The following is a 17,490-nucleotide window of genomic DNA, read 5'->3' on the forward strand; positions in this document are numbered from 1 at the left end:
AGGATGTATTACCGTGTTCATTTTATAAATAAGTGAACTGAGGTTTTTTAAGAGATATAGCTACTGAGATAATGAATCAGTCTCAAAGGCTATGTAGAAGAACCAATTTCAATTCGTTGTCCTCCAACTAATCCATTGCCGGACTTTTTCCAAATGCACACTTACAAAAAGTAATTTGTAACCGTCTACCTGGAAGATCTAGCCATCTGTTAGACACCTGGAGCCAAGAATGTCTGAATCTGCACGAATGCCAAGAAGTGTGCAAAACTGAACTTGCGATCTGCCCCACCATTTCCTGGGCATGCCCAGGGTGGCAGCGGTGCTGGTACCTTCCACCTGCCCCTCAAGATCCACCCCATCTTCTCTGGGAGTCCAGTGTACATGGCTGCATCCATGGACAAGGCTTCCTGCTGGGCTCGCCCCTGAGGAGCAGCAGCAGGGGGAAGGAGGGAGAAGAGGGAGGCTGGGGTGTTCATTTCCCCTGTTGCCTTCTCTATGGCTCACTGTGGGCTGGCTCCATCCTCTAACTGAAGGGCACAGCTTGGGTCAGGAAGCCCCCTCCACAGAGCCTCTTCACCCCCAGGTTTGGGTAAGTACTCCCTTCCCTCCTCAGGTCTAGGGCTGGTGTTAGCCCTTCTGTGACTAACCTGAAGGAGCTCTGCAATGATCTGCATTTTCTCTCTACCTTTGTAAGAAGTTACTTCATTAATGCTCTTCAGGTTATCTGATTTGGGTGTATCATCTGTTTCCTGTTTGGACTCTAGGTGATACTGTAGTCTTGTCAAAGCCCAGAACTGAAGCCTTCATAATAAATGAAAAGAAGGGCTCCATTGGAAATATCATAAGTGATACATCTAGTCTTAGGAGGCCTGGAGGAGGAAAAAGGAATCAATGAGCTTTTCCTTACTGACTCATAAACCACCCAAGAAGAGTTGGTGGTCTCCTCAACACTGTTGCTACATAGCAAGGGGAGGGTGGGAAGAGGAAGAAGGAGGGAAAGGGCCACATAGTGAGCACTTATTATGTGCCAGGTGCAGTACAGGATTTTCACACACATCATGTGATCACGTGCTGTGTAATCTTGTTTCGACCGTAACCTCTCTTTGTCCCAGTTTTTCATCTGTAAAATGAGAATAATAGTAGGATCTATTTTGTGGTGTTGAGACAATTAAATGAGATAATACCTGTAAAGTGGCTAACACATCATACATGTTCAATAAATATTATCTATTAATAATGATGATGAGGATAATAGTAATGATTTTAAAAGCCTCATAATCATCTTCTAAAGTAGATATTATTTTGCCCATTTTAAAAAGGAAATTAAGGCTCCACCAGTGATGTCACAAAGAAGAGGCAGAAGGGAAATTAATCTGGATCCTGACATAAAATCTTAGAAATTTCACCATCATCACATCACCCTGCCCCTCAGTTGCCTCCCATGTGCCACAATTCACAATCTATATAAGGGATGGCATATATGTGACCCATGTGCTGTCATGCTCTTCTCCCAGATGAGTGATGGACAAGGGTCCTCTTTTGAGCTGACTCTCAGAATGCCTCCTAACATACTCCCTGTCTTAGTCCTTTTTCTGCTGCAATAACAGAATATCACAGACTGGGTAATTTATAAAGGTCAGAAGTTTATTTGGCTCATGGTTCTAGAGGCTGGAAAGTCCAAGACTATGGCAACACTAACTGGCCAGGGTCGTCACCTAGAAGAAGGTATCATGTGGCAAGGAAGCAGGCACACAGGAAACAGAAAAAGGAGGCCAAACGTATCCTTTTAACAGGAACACATTCCTACAATAGCAGCATTAACCCACTCATGAGGGTAGATGCCTCACGGCCTAATAAGCTCTTAAAGGCCTCACCTCTTAATACTGTTACAGTGGCAATTAAGTTCCCAACAGATAAACTTTTGGGGGACACATTCAAACCACAGCACTACCTAAGCACCCACTAATAATCACTCCCAGTTGACCTGTGAGGTAAAGCTAATTTATCCTTGAAGAAAAACATTAATGCAGATGAACAGGACAAAGTCAGATTCAACAAAGACTGTGTGCTCCATAGATCAAAATTTTGTTTTGTTCACACCAGTATCCCTAGGGCCCAGAACAATGCTTGATATGTAGAAAGCACTCAGTAAATACTTGCTGAATAAGTGAATGAATAAAAGGTATTATATAAAGACCCATGCCTTCAGAGAATTTACAGAGAATGAAGACAGACAAAAGGAAGACCATAAACAGACCTAATGCAAACTAGCCTAAGATAGGCACCATAAAAGCATAGTCAGTTGTGGGTAAAATAAGAAGAGAGGGAAGTCTGAATTAGTCTGGGTAACAGCATTTAAAAAAGAATATGGTGTTGCTTTCAAGTTATCTTAATCTAAGCTCACCCTCTTCTCAGGCAGATACTCTAATAGGCCTGCTTTAACAAGCAGATGAAAATAATTTATAATTAGTAACACTATTTACCTTAAACTGTTTACAACTTAAGTTCATAAATCTCTTTGGAGAGAACAAATGGGACTTTCAACCCAATTCTGGGTGGGTCAGTGTGAATAAATGAGATCTTGAATTATTCGAACAAGAGCCCTAAGGTGCTATCACTTGTCCTTTTCTCACTGAAACCTAACAGGGGCCCACACAGAGACTTTCTCCTCTTCCTTTGCTCTAACATGGAAATATTTTTTTTTTTTTTAATTTTAAGAGCCATAGGCCAGGCGCTATGACTCATATCTATAATCCCAAGACTTTGTGAGGCAGAGGCAGGAGGATAACTTGAGCCCAGGAGTTCAAGACCAGCTTGGGCAACACAGGCAAACATCATATCTATTAAAGAAAAAAATTTTAAAAATTAGCCAGATCTGGTGGTGCATGCCTGTAAGTCCCAGCTACTTGGGAGGCTAAGGTGGGAGGATCACTTGAAACCAGGAGTTTGAGGCTGAAGTGAGCTACAATCATGCCACTGCACTCCAGCCTGGAAAAAAGTAATAATTGTTCTAAAAAGTTCCAAAAATACAAAAATTTAAACAGTAGAGAGTGAAAGCAAGCAAACAACTTCTCCCCAACCCAAATGACAACAGGCGTCAGCAGACTATGGCCTGTGGCCAAAGCCAGTCTGCACCTATTTTTATACCGCCTGTGAGCTTAGGATTGTTTTTATACTTTTAAATGACTGAAGACAGGAATAATATTTTGTGACATGTGAAAATTATATGAAATTCAATGTTCAATGTCCATGAAATTTTGGTGGCACATGGCCACGTCCATCCCTTTATATATAAAATCTGTGGCTACTTTCAAGCCAGAGCTGCAGAGTTGAGTAGCACCCCCGATCTAAAAGAATAGATTCTTTGGCCTTGCTAAAAAACACTTCTCTTTCCAACTCACCATCTCTTTTTTTTCTTTTTGAGACAGAGTCTCGCTCTGTTGCCTAGACTGGAGTGCAGTGGCATGATCTCAGCTCACTGCAACCTCTGCCTCCCAGGTTCAAGCAATTCTCCTGCCTCAGCCTCCCAAGTACCTGGGATTACAGGCCTGCACCACCACACTCGGCTAACTTTTTTACATTTTTAGTGGAGACGGGGTTTCATCATGTTGTCCAGTCTGGTCTCGAACTTCTGACCTCAGGTGATCCGCACGTCTTGGCCTTGCAAAGTGCTGGGATTACAGGTGTGAGCCACTGTGCCCAGCCCTAACTCACCATCTCTTATTCATCCATCTATACATCAAACAAGTTGTGTAATATAACACCTCCCGTTTGTCAACCGGTTTTTTTTTCATTTAACTATTTACTGTGGCTATCATACTCCAATCAGGCTGCTATAAAAAAATGCCATGGATTCTACACGACTGAAATTTATTTCTCACAGTTCTAGAGGCTGGGAAGTTCAAGATCAAGGCATTGGCAGACTCAGTGTCTGGTAGGACCTGCTTCCTCATAGATGGAGCCTTCTTGTTGCTTCCTCATGTGGTGGAAGGGGCAAACAAGCTCCCTCAGCCTAATCCCACTCATGAGGACTCTACCCTCTTGACCTAATCACCTCCCAAAGGTCCCACCTCCTAATACCATTGCACTGGGGATTAAGTTTCAACATAATGACTGGGAGTGGAGGCACACAAACATTCAGACTAGAGCAGTGGCCATCATTCTTCAGGTTTTCACAGAACAATCAACTTTCTAATATGTATGTCAATATCACCCATATCCCTATCAAGTTTCTTACAGGCATTTCATGACCAGCCATGCATTCAAAAGCATCTCTTCCCTACCTCACTTATCTTGCTGGGGAAACAGCACAGAGAGTACAGACTGCAAAGGGCTCATAAGAAATGGGAGCTATAACCCTGTGACTTCCCTTTGCAGTAAACACATGACCCTGGTAATCAGTCACTCTCCAACTTGGCTGGTCCGGTGTGGTAGAACACACCCTGGGTGACTGTGCAGTTTGGTTGGGAAAATATTTGCCAAGCAAATGTCTTGGGTAAGTGGGGAGTCCCAACCAAAAATGTGAGATGTTAGTCTTCTGCTCATTTAGCTAATGTGAAGAACTAGCTTTAGACTGTATAGTTTTCATACCTAATTCCTAGCAACTCACAGATTCATAGATAAACTGATTTTACATTGGCTTACTTCCTACAATTATTTTGATGGCACTTTGTTGATATTCTACTAACAAATGTGTTTTTTCCTAGAAAGTTTCAATTTAGTCAGTAAATATGTACTACTGTAGGTGGTCTTTGGTATTTGGTTTAGTGAGGATAGAGAAAAAAACATCTTTAGCATGCGAAAATTATTCCTGGAATAATTTTCAGGAATGGCTTAATTAAGAGTTAAGTTTTTGCTAGAAGAAACTTTCTATGATAGCACTAATATTAAAGAAAGCAAAACATTTTTTGATCTCACATATGATTCTAACGTATATTAGTTAACCAAATTGGCTGGTGTTCCAGTTACTGCTATATAATATGCCATCCCAAAAATTGGTGGCCTAAGACAATACTAGTCATTTATTTTTCTCATGAAATCTGCAATTAGGGCAGTGCTCAGCGGGAACAGCTCATCTCTGCTCTATGGGGCATTAACTGGGGTCATTCAATTGAGGCAGGGGATCCACTTCCAAGATGGCTCTCTCATATGGTTGGCAAGTTGCTGCTGGCTGTAGGATGGCAGCTAAGCTGGGCTGTCAGCCAGTGTCCACATTTCCTTTCCATGTGGGCCTCTCTATGGGCTTCTTGCAGCTTGGCAACTGGATTCTAAGAGTCAGTGTTCAAAGAAACCAAGGCAGATGCTACAAATCTTCTTACAGTCTACCTCATAAGTCAAGCAATGTCATCTCCACCGCATTCTACCAGTTAAGCAAATTGTTAAGACCAGCCCAAAGTCAAGCAGGGGATAATAAGATCCCACATCTCAGTGAAAGGAGTTGCAAATAATTCATGGCCACCTTGAATCTACCACAGCACATAAAAGAAACAATATAAATGAATCTCTGAAACTCATGGTTTGGATATCGAAGTGGCAAAGAGAAGCCAAGAGTAGAATTAGAGTCTCTCATGGTTGGACCAACTCTCTTGACAAGAAGGAAGACACAGTGGTCAAGAGCACAGGCCAAGGCCAGGAGCTATGGCTCACTCACACCTGTAATCCTGGCACTCTGCGAGGCTGAGACAGGTGGATCACCTGAGGTCAGGAGTTTGAGACCAGACTGGCCAACATGTGAAGCCCCATCTCTACTAAAAATACAAAAATTGGCCAGGCATGGTGGTGCACACCTGTAATCCCAGCCACTCAGGAGGCTGAGGCAGCAGAATCACTCGGACCTGGGAGGCGGAGGTTGCAGTGAGCTGAGATCACGCCATTGCACTCCAGCCTGGGTGACAGAGCGAGACTCTCTCTCCCCGCCAAAAAAAAAAAAAGAGCACAGGCCACCCAAGTGTGACTCCTATGTTCTGTCATGTACCAGCTGAATGACCATAGACAAACTGTCCTTTCCATGTCCCCATATCTTCATCTACAAAATGGGGAAAATAATGATGTCCACTGCAGGGTTTATCCAGAGAAATCAAGATTCTGCTTTTTAATTAACTTTAAAATTTTTTTAACCTGGTATATAACATGCTCACAGAAAACTGCAAAATAAGTGCTCTGTGAATTTTTACTAACTGAACAGACTTAGCTGACCACCACCCAGACCAAGACGTGGAACACAGGAAGGACTGGGAAACAACAGGGAGCGGGAACAATAGGGAGTGGGGAAGGGGAGTAGGAAACAACAGAGGGTGCTGGAGACTTCAGGAAACAGGAGACCACAGATTCTTGGCTCTTGCCAGTAATAAAGGTGGGATGTGTAGATTAAGCAAAACATGGCAGAGGCCAGACTTAGTCCACATACCCCTGTTTGGAACCTTGAAAATAGGAGGTGTTAGCAGCTTGAAGAAGTGGGGAGGGTTTGGAATAGTGTTAAGGGATGGGAAGATGGAGGTGCGTGAAGAACAAGAAGGGAATGTCAGCATAAGAGAGGCTGACATCATAGGTATAGCTCAGTATGGCAGGGATAATGGGCGTGGGGTTAACTAGGCTCAAGGTTCTAGAAGGAATCTTGGTGTGAAGTTGTCCTAATACAGGAAGAAGCCTACCAGGTGCTGAGAAACGCTCAGAGACAAACCTCTTGCCACAAAGCCAAGTGATCACCCTTCCTAGCTGTCACCTATTTAATCACTAAAACATCACAAGGAGCTCCACTCCCATATGCAACTGTGCTCAGTCTTTCTCCCCCTCTCCTTTTGCTCATTCCCACACATAGTAAGACGTTTGTTTTCTCTCCCTTGCTCACTTTGTCTTGCTTTTGTGTATACTGCCCCTCTGCGTAGAGTTCCTAAAATTTCTCTCTCTTATGAAACATCTCACAGCGCACATACTGTTGGAAGATTTGGGCACTTCAAATCCTTTTTGGAAAGAGGCAGATACAAAATGAGGAACACGAAAAGTGAAGTCCTGTTCACAACTCTGGCTCTGAAATCCAAGGTATCTGGTAGACCTCTTGAAATAATCCCGAGCCCTCCTCACCTTGGCTACGGCAGGCAGTTTAAGAAGTATGTAACTAACCTGCACAATGTGCACATGTACCCTAAAACTTAGAGTATAATAAAAAAAAAAAAATTAAAAAAAAAAAAAAAAGAAGTGGCTAATGAGATACTCAAGAGTGGTGGGAGGAGGGGAAATCCGGAATCATTAGCAACTAACTGGGTGACTGGCAGATCTGGAGATGACGGCCCATGGCATGCAGCTGGCAAGGGTAACATCAAGAAGAAGACTAATTTATTTAGAAATATTTAAATCAAACTCCCATCTGAACATTAGAATATGCCTGCACCTTACTAGATGAGACAGCACACAATAAGCATTTCAGTTTAGTGCTTGGCAAAGAGCAGGTGCCTCTAAACGTTTTCCCCTTACTCACCCCTTTTCCTTTCTTCTCCTACTCTATCAGGCTGTATATGGTTACATGAAGCCTTATTTACTTAGGGACCCTGCTGGCTACAGTCAGCTCTTCTTCTCAAGCTGTGCCCCTGGCCTGATCTGAACTACATGGCCACACTAGTTTTCAATTGACTTTGGAAGAAAGATTTTTGAATCATTTCATTCATGTGTTAAAGGTGAAGTCTCTAGTTCACAGATCTTGAGTGTCTTTGGAAATATGTTCTGCCTTTTATCATCCCTGCCTTTTATCATACTACCTTGGAGGCAGTGTGATGGTGCAGCTGGTTAGTTCATGTGTGTGAACACTTTTTTATGTTCAGTGCATGTTCTATTGAAAGATACAGGTACTTTACATATATTTGGAAAGAGGCAAGATGTAAATTAATGAAATCAAAGTGAAGAAAATCCCATTTGCCACTGAAATCCCATTTTTCACCCTGTATTTGTAAGTATAGTGTTGTTTTTTTTTTTATGAAGCACTGTTTTGGGTATTTTAACTACTGTAGCATAAAATAAAACTAAGGAACAATAACTATTTGCTGGCTTCTCTATAACACAGCTCTAGATTCTTCACACTGTGAATGAAAATTCTTACTCAATAATTTAGGATGAACTACAATTTTTATTTAAGAAATTCAGGATTATTTTGGAGAGGAAGCATATGGGTGGTGATGGGAACATGTTTTAGGCTCTACAAAAATGATAGTAATTTATGAGAGGACCGTTTACATCACTCAGAATTTAGCACTGAGAGTCCACATTTTGGTTTAGAATTAAAACATTTTTATTTTCATTTACAGTTTAAAAGCATTTAAAATTTAGCATATGTTCTTTTAGAAGTGTACATGCACACATACATTTTGTATAAACTGGACTATATGAATGCATTTTGAAATATGTTTTTTCAAAAATTTAATGCAAGCCTTTCTATTATGATTGCTACATCTACAACACTGAAGCCAACCAGTGTCTGTCTTGTTGGATGTTATCCTCAGTGCTTTACTATTTTAAACAATGCTTAGATGGTCATTCTTTACATATATCTTTATATGCCTATCCCATTGTTTCCTTAGGATAATCTCTAGAAGTGGACTGACTGAAACGAAGGATAAATACATTTTAAAGTCTGGAATATATATTTCAAGCTGCCCTCCCCCTATATTATGTTGATCTATAATCCTGCCAGAGTACTCTTCTTCATACTCTTGCCAGCATTGGTTCCTGCATTTCTTTGCTATCTTCACAAGTTTAATTATACATCTTTTGTTATTTGCAAAGTTTAATTTTGTTCACACATGTATTGCCACCTGAATTTCTTTTTCGGTGAAGTGCCTGTTCATGACCTATGCAGGCGTGAGGTCTTGCCTGTGGTTTGATCCTACACTGATAAATTTCACATATTTCATATATTGTTAATGCACAGCAGACATCGCAGGCCTCTGATGAATGGCTGTGTGTATTTTTGAGGCAGTTCTGGCTGTAAAATATAAATAGGGTAGAAAAAGGAATGACTCAAAGCTCTTACTTCTTGTCTGAAGTAAACAAAACATGCGCTCCAGTATATTTGGGTCAACACAACCAGCATTTCTAGCTAAAGAAAAAGGGCTGGCTCTGGCTGCTGAGTCACTTAAATCATGTTTCACTTGGCAACATGACTCTAAGTCCTTCTGCAAATAAAGAGGGGCTGATAGCTACTCCAAGCTCCAAGCAATGCATTAATGACAAAAAGATAAATTTACCCACACAGAAACATAGAAACAAGAGCAGGAGTCCAGCTATTTATACAAGTTCAATCACTACTTTATTTTTAATCCAGTTCCTCTTTCTTTTTAAATTAGAATTTAAATGCCAAATGCTGTGAGGCTAGAGGTCATTTTAAACCAAACATCTGAAATCCAAAAGCCCTTTCTGGCCATTTTTATTACTTTAACTGTTAAACGGTACATCGCATTCATGGATATATCCCTAGTACCACGAGTTCATTATTTCCTATTGCAAGCCAGACTGCCTCCTATATTCTGTCATTTCTGTCCACTCGCATAGCTAACTTCCGAGGTAATCAGGCCAAAGACTTTCACAAAAATCTTTATTCCTCCTTCTCCCTTGCCCTCCTTACCTAATCAATTGCCAAATCCTAGAGATTTTTAATATTTTCTTAATATAAAGCTTTTACTGTAGAACAGTTTTAGATTTATAGCAAAGTTGCAAAATTCACCTATTCTCCTAACCTAGGTCCCTGTAATGTGAACATCTTACATGGCCACAGTAAATTTGTCACAACCAAGGAACCGACACTGATACATGACTATTAACTGAGCTCCACACTTTGTTCAGATGTCACCAGTTTTTCCCTAATGTCCTTTTTCTCTCCCAAGGTCCCATGTCCAGGATACCACACGATGTTTAATCACGTCTCCTTAGTCTCCTTTGATCTGTGACCGTGGTTCAGTCTTGCCTTGTTTTTATGGCCTTGGCAGTTTTGAGGAATAGTGATCAGGTATATTGTAGACTGTCCCTAGGTCTACCTGGTCATTTTCTCATGCTTCAACTGCTGTCAATGGCTTTTCTGGAGGATGACCGCAGGGCTGGGGTGCCATTTTCATCAAATCCTATCAAGGATGCATGCTATCAACGTGGCTCTCGGCTGCTTCACTCGCAACACTTCTAACACCAACTGTGGGGGTTTTTCCTCACACTAATTCTCCAGTTTTCTGGACAGCAGCCAGGTATCCTGTAATTCAATTCAATTCAGTTCTGACACTAACTACCCAGAGTTAACACAGAGCCCCACAAGACTGCCCCATTTCAGACACCAATTGCAAGTCCTGAGCCCTCCACACTTCTGACTGGCTATAAATCTGGGGTCAGGGGAGTCCTAAAACTCCCTCCTCAGGGCTCACAGAACTAAGGAGAATACTTTCCTACTCTTACTTGTTTGTTATAAAGGATACACATAAACAGCTCAAGGAAGAGGCACACGGGGTGAGGTCCAGAAGGGGCAGAGTACAGAAGCTTCCATCCCTGTGGGGTTGGGATGTGCCCCATTCCTGGTACATGGATGCATTCATCAATCTGGAACCCTCAGAACCCTGTCCTTTAGGTTTTTTAATGGAGCTTCCATAACAGAGGTATGATTGATTACATCATTGACCACTGGTGATTAACTCAATCTCGACCCCTTCACCCCTCCCTGAAGGAAGGGTGACTGCATTAGTCTGTTCTCGTGCTGCTAATAAAGACATACCTGACACTGGGTAATCTATACAAGAAAGAGTTGTAATTGACTCACAGTTTCATATGGCTGGGGAGGCCTCACAATCACAGCAGAAGAACAAGGGACATCTTACATGGGAGCAGGCAAGAGAGAGCTTGTGCAGGGGAATTCCCCTTTATAAAACCATCAGATCTCATGAGAGTCATTCACTGTCATGAGAACAGCACGGGAAAGACCTGCCCCCATGATTCAATTACCTCCCACTGGGTCCCTCCTACAACACACGGGAATTGTGGGAGCTGTAATTCAAGATGAGATTTGGATGGGGACACAGCCAAACCATATCAGTGGCCCTGAAAGTTCCACTCTTTAATTACATGGCTGGTTCCTTTGGCAACCAGCTCCATCCTGGAGCTATCTAGGGGCCCACCAAAAGTCACTGCATTAGCAGAAACTCAGGTAAGGCTGAAGGGGCTTGTTATGAATAATAGAAAATGCTCCTATCATGCATGCCACTCAGGAAATTCCAAGGGTTATAGAAGTTCTGTGTCAGGAACCAGGGACAAAGACCAAATATTTCTTACTCTATCGTGACTTAGCACTGATGATGTTGACCATGACCACCTGACTCAGGTAGTGTCTGCCGGGTTTCTCCACTGTAAAGTTCCTGTTTACCCTCTTTTCATACTCATTTTTCAGATGGGGAAACTGAGGTTAGAAGTTAAATGATTATGTCAAAACTAAAAAGTAATAAAACCAAAATTGGAAGGCAAGGCTTCTCACTCCTTGTTCTGAGTTTCTTCCACTCTACCAGGAGTTGGCAAACGACAATGGTCCAGGGGCCAAATCTATCCCAGCACCTGTTTTTCATAAGGGCTGTAGTTTTAAGCTGTTGGGAAAAAAAATCAAATGGACAATATTTCATGACATGTAAAACTTACATTAAATTCAAATTTCAGTGTCCATAAGTTTATTGGAACACGGCTATGCTTGCCTGTTTACATATTGCCTATAGCTGCTTTCATGATACATTGGCCAACTTGAGTAGTTACGGCAGAGACTTATGGTCCACAAAGGTTAAAATATTTCAGCTTAAAAATGTAAAATATCTGGCCCTTTACAGAAAGTGTTTGCCAACACTGCACTATACCATGATGCTAAGCTGCCTCTTTATTTTTTATCTATCTATTTATTTATTTATTTATTTATATACTTTTGTCAGGGATAGAGAAAACCAGCAGCTCTTAATCTCTTAAGATGGGTTCATTGTGCAATATACGAAGTGTAAAACAAAATCCTCTAAAACATTTCTTTAGGGGCTCAGACTTGAGGTTTGCTCAGCTTTCCCACTCTTAGTGATGATATCACATAAGCGCAGTGGAGAGCTTGAGTGTGGGAGAGAAGAAGAGATGCAGAGACAGGGACACAGAGCAGGGAGAGGCAGAGACACATACATTACTCTGGACATTAGAATTGGAGAGAAGAAGAGTGACTCCCCCAATTAACAGATCATAGATAAAATTTGTGCAATGAGTCTAAAACACCCCAAAAACCAAAAAACAAAACGTACCGGGGAGGCTGTGACAGGCCAGGATCTTTTAAATGCAAAAATCTGAGATCTTCCTCCAACATGTACAGCAAAGACATTCTTAGAAACGTTGCCTACATGTTTCCAAGTCTCAGCTGCTCCAACAGCATGCTCAAGAGACTGCCTCTCCACTCTCTCCCTCACTCAAACATGACCCCCATCATTCCTATCTGCAGACGACAAGGCTGGCTACTCGCCCAACTCCAAAACTGTTCTCTGTTTATTTCTAACTCTAGGAAACGACAGAGATGTCTCAAGAGAACTGTATTCTGGGGTGTTACGTTCCGATTTTTATTGTATGTATAATACAGAAAGCTACTTTTCGTTTTTGTCTCAGTATCTTTTGTGAATAGTCACTTTTCTAAGTTCATATCGAATACCTATGAAATTTCTTAGGAGGCCCCTCCTTTAGAAAAATATTTTGCAAGGCAGATAAAAAGCTGGCACCATTCAAGAATCAGGAAAGTGGGATAATCCTTGGAGAGGAAAATGCAACTGTCACAAAAAGACAAAGGGCGAAGTGAAGGCCGTGTGAGGATAACTTCATGAAAGCAGATAATAGAAAAAAGAACTGATGTTAGAAAGTTCAAGGTTAAGGACATTGCTGAAGCTGTGTCATCATTCTGACCTCAGGAACTCTGCATTTAATACTTTATACTTTCAAAAATGTGTTTCACCATCACAGCAATCCAGTGAGGTTAGGAATTAGCTTCACTTTTCAAGTCAAGTCCAGGCATTAAATGGCTCATTTAAGTTACCTCCATGAGATCAGGGCTCAGCTGGATCATCACTGTATACCCAGAGCCAACCATTATGCCTTGGAACACAGCAGGTGCTCAATAAAGACTTGCTGGGAAAATGTCATTAGGCCGATTGACAAATCCCCAAATCTTCTATCTCCTAGTATTTACATCACTAATGGATAAAGACGACCCCCTGCTACAATAAATACCCCTCTCCTTTCTATTCTACCATCAAGGTGCAATTTGTTGATCAATGACTTCCCAGCTTAGGCATCCTCTAAGTGCAGCTCTGACACTCAGTGAGTCAATCGCAGACACAGAGAGCAAGGAGAGGGCCTCAAAATCCCATTTCTTACAGGAGAGGATGGGTTATATTAATCTTAAAACACAAATGTGGACACCACAGTATTTCTAGAGGATCAGTATTTATGGAGGAGACGTTACCTTTTAATAATTAAGTCCTAAGGTGGCTTTTCAAACTTACGGATGGGACTGGCTTACTTAACAGTTTAGCAATAAGAAAATAAAGCACAAGATGAGAATTCTGCACAACTCGCCTTCTGGTAGAAGCCATATCTGTGAAGCAGAACGAGTATAAGGATTCTAAAAAAAGCAGAAGAAAATCCAGCTGTCTTTCTGTGATCATCTCATAAGAACAGCAACTCTCAATCACAGTCTACTTAGTACAATCGATTCATTAACACCTATTTACATAATAACACCAGGGTTTGAGGCTACAATTTTCTGTACAGAGGCATGATTTTAAAGCAAGTATCTTCACAATGCCACACAATGATCCTCAAGGCATGAAGATATCTAGCAGACAATGCCATGGGCTTCTGGAGTCCCCTTTAAAATTTTATTTTTCCTTTTCAGTCCCAGGAATGAATAGGGACTTCCTGGAAATGCCATCTAACCTTGTATTTTAGAGACATTGTTGGGGATAACAAGGCATGAAATTGCTTTCCAAAAGAAATCATTTTTCTGTTTCAATAAATGGTGCTGGATATTGGGGGAGTCCATTCAATAGCCGATTTGAATAAGGGAGAGCAAAGAAACTCTTTAGATGCTGTTCAAGTTATTCCTGGATTGAGATATTGGTACTGAGAGATGATGAGAAAAGAATTTATTTAAAAAGAAAATGTGAAGAGCAGTTGGTCATGAGAGAGAGAGTGACTGTGTTATTCTCAAGAAAACAGTAGACTGTCCCCAGTTTTTGCCACCAGGCCACCCAGCTATGATGGGATAACTAGATATATAAAGCCCAGTGTCTGCCAAGGGCAAATTGGTTCCTCAGGTAAAGCACAAATAAGTCACTAGCTTGACAGTAGAATCAGCAGCAGGTTGTTTTGGTTTTTTGTTTTTTGTCTTCTATTTTTTGTTTTGTTTTGTTTTTTCAGTAAGACAACAAAGAGCTCACAGTCCCCAAAAGAAAAAGTTACTTTCTTGCCAACATTGGTCAAAAGTATGATTCTTTTAGAAAAATTCAATGAAGGTTTCCTCTCCCAACCCCATCAAGGCAGGAAATGGAATTGTATTTCTTAAATGAATGAATGTTTTCATAATATTTATGTTTTTGGATATATATGATCATTAAAATGTGACTTCTATTTGCATGTGAAGTGGAGACAAATTAGAATTGATTGCATGTGGAGATTTTGTTTGTTTCGTATCCTTTTGTATATGCTATGAAATCTTAAAATCATTAGACCAGGAGGAGCCTGGAGGGGCCATTGGATCCACCTTACGTCTCTCTGCTTCCAAGTGTGGGCCTTGGACTAGCAGCATCAACATCTTCCGAGACCCTGTTAGAAATGCAGTGGACCCCATCTCAGACCTAATAAATTAGAATCTGCTTTACTACAAGATTGCCAGGTGATTTGTATGCACTTCCATCTCCCATCTTCTTCAGCTGTAACTTTCCTGGTCTCAGACAAACTCATCTAGCCTACAGATGGGTTAGTGGTCAAGGAGGTAGTGTCCAAGAATCAGAATCACTTTGGCCGTTGGTAGGATGGGTGCTGACTGGCCATGCCTAGGGTCGCATGCTCAGCCCTGGATGAAGGAAGGTCCCTAGAACCATGGGGACTTAGATTGAGGAAGAAAATCAAGGCGCTACTATCAGAAGAACAGGGAATGGATGACAGGCAAGCAAACCAAAAGACCTTCCCAGAAGTGATCAATTACTTGGGATGAGTATCTGACCAAAGTCAGATCAACGAAGAACAATTGCATGACTTTGGCTGTATCTACAGAGAAGGGGAGGCTCTTAGATTGAGGTTATAAAGTTCATAGAACGTAAACCTAGAGCTGCCACGTGGAGAAAGCCTGCCTGTGAACAAGGCAAACCCCAAGGAAACAGGGCTGGGAAATGGAGAGAGACCAGGTCCCTGTAAGCTTAGTTGTGTCCCTGAATGTATGGCCACTAACTCCAGGGGGCAGCCTTCACACTGTTTGCTAATGCAATGTGACTGTGCCCCTGAAGCTGTGCCATGACATGCCAGCCCTCCCTAGATCCAGCTACACCTGAAGCACATTTTCTCTCTGGACTTTTGTTATCTGTGCCCATCAACTTCTCCATCTTTTTTTTTTTTTTTAATTTTGATTTAAGTCGGTTTGAGGCAGATTTTCTGTGACTTGCAACTGAAACACTGCTGACACCCATGCGGTGAGTTTTAAAAATATTCATGCTCATCCCAGACCAAAACTTTTTCTCCTGCAAAAGACAGACTCTGATATGGCCAAGGTGGAGATGGGGAGAAGGGAAACGGGTTGGAGGATGCATTCTTATGCACTGCCAGGAAGAAGTCAATGAAGAAATCCTCTACAGGAGAGCAATATGATTATCTCTATATTTAAATATTTTAAATATTTAAAGGTATATGCCATTTGGCCTAGTGGTTCTATTTCTGCAAACTGATAATATAGATTAACTAGCATATGCGCCAAAATATTTATGTTCAAGGGTAACATTTAATTTGTTGGGACAGCAGAAGATTGTACAACCAAAATGCCCAGCAATAAAAGGCTAGTAAATGATGGACCATCTAAACAATGTTTAAAAAACATTCCTGTAGTTATTAAAAAGCAAATATGGGAGGTCTACATGTGCTAACCCGGAACAATCCCTAAGATAAGTAAAAACAAGTAAGGTGGCCGGGTGCCGTGGTTCATGCCTATAATCCCTGCACTTTGGGAGGCCAAGGAGGGTGGATTACCTGAAGCCAGGAGTTCGAGACCAGCCTGGCCAACATGATGAAACCCTGTCTCTACTGAAAATACAAAAAATTAGCCGGGCATGGTGGTGGGTGCCTGTAATCCCAGCTACTCGGGAGGCTGAGGCAGGAGAATTGCTTGAACCCAGGAGGCGGAGGTTGCAGTGAGTCGAGATTGCGCCACTGCACTCCAGCCTGGGCAACAAGAGTGAAACTCCATCCCAAAAACAAAAACAAAACAAAAAGAAACAAGCAAGGTATGGAATTATGTATATGTTACCATTTGTGTGAATGCAAAAGATAAATAGGTCTATATGTATATATATACACACACATACATTAAATGCATGTACATGGATATATCTCTAGGAATAGACAGAAAGTTAATAGGGATTGTTTCTGGGAAGGGGACAGGATTGGGAGAGAGACCTACTTTATGTCTTTTAAATATTGAAAATACTATATGCATCCACTATATATTTAATGCCTTGGCAGATTTGGAATGTTTCCCTCCTTTTTCTTTCTTTTTTTGAGACGGAGTCTCACTCTGTTGCTCAGGCTGGAGTGTCGCGGCACGATCTCGGCTCACTGCAACCTCTGCCTCCCGGGTTCAAGCGATTCTCCTGCCTTAGCCTTCTGAGTAGCTGGGATTACAGGCGTGTGCCACCACACCCGGCTAATTTTTGTATTTTTAGTAGAGACAGGGTTTCACCATGTTGGTCAGGCTGGTCTCGAACTCCTGACCTCGTGATCCACCCCCCCCCCACCCACCCCCACCCCCAGCCTCCCAAAATATTGGGATTACAGGTGTGAGCCACCGCACCTGGCCCCCTCCTCTTTCTTTTATTAATACAACTACTGGTCTAAAGAAACTGAGAATGCATGTCCCAAGCAAGAAGTCTGGAGACTGAGAAATCAGCGGCCCCCTCTTGTCTAATTAGGCCAAGAGCTGAGCATATCATACTCACAAATGAAAAATCACTGAAAGAACTTCATTAATTGGCTAGGGTAGAGCTGCAGTGGGAGTGGAAATTATTTTTCCCAGGAGCAGCAGGGCAGAAAGATTCAGCTATGGAAACATCTGTCCTACTGTTAGGTGCTGCAGGGCATGTTGCAGAAATTCCCAGGACCCATCAATCAAAGCAACCCTACTGGTAAATACTTTCTCTCCTGTGATGTGAATCCTCAGTGGCCTCTGGCCTGCCCTACTGGCCATTTAGAATTACCAAGCCCTCC

General features: G+C 41.8%; 1 long non-coding RNA gene across 1 annotated transcript, besides 2 other annotated features; it reads right to left on the minus strand.

Annotated features, from left to right (window-relative positions):
• Positions 5,759–5,828: an enhancer, noted in NCBI's record as "active region_6795". NCBI's record gives its function as "activates an Ori minimal core promoter by ATAC-STARR-seq in GM12878 lymphoblastoid cells {active_cell/tissue: GM12878}" and the evidence as "EXISTENCE:reporter gene assay evidence [ECO:0000049][PMID:35858748]".
• LOC124902989 (uncharacterized) lies at positions 8,097–16,800 on the minus strand. The gene is made up of 2 exons (XR_007063412.1): positions 12,279–16,800; positions 8,097–11,597 (listed from the first exon to the last, which is right to left on the minus strand). It is a non-coding gene; the product is annotated as an uncharacterized LOC124902989 (long non-coding RNA).
• Positions 10,864–10,993: an enhancer, noted in NCBI's record as "active region_6796". NCBI's record gives its function as "activates an Ori minimal core promoter by ATAC-STARR-seq in GM12878 lymphoblastoid cells {active_cell/tissue: GM12878}" and the evidence as "EXISTENCE:reporter gene assay evidence [ECO:0000049][PMID:35858748]".
• Positions 16,801–17,490: the final 690 nt, after the last annotated feature.

This window comes from Homo sapiens, chromosome 12, assembly GCF_000001405.40.
Source record: "Homo sapiens chromosome 12, GRCh38.p14 Primary Assembly".
In the NCBI taxonomy this organism is placed as follows: Eukaryota; Metazoa; Chordata; class Mammalia; order Primates; family Hominidae; genus Homo; species Homo sapiens.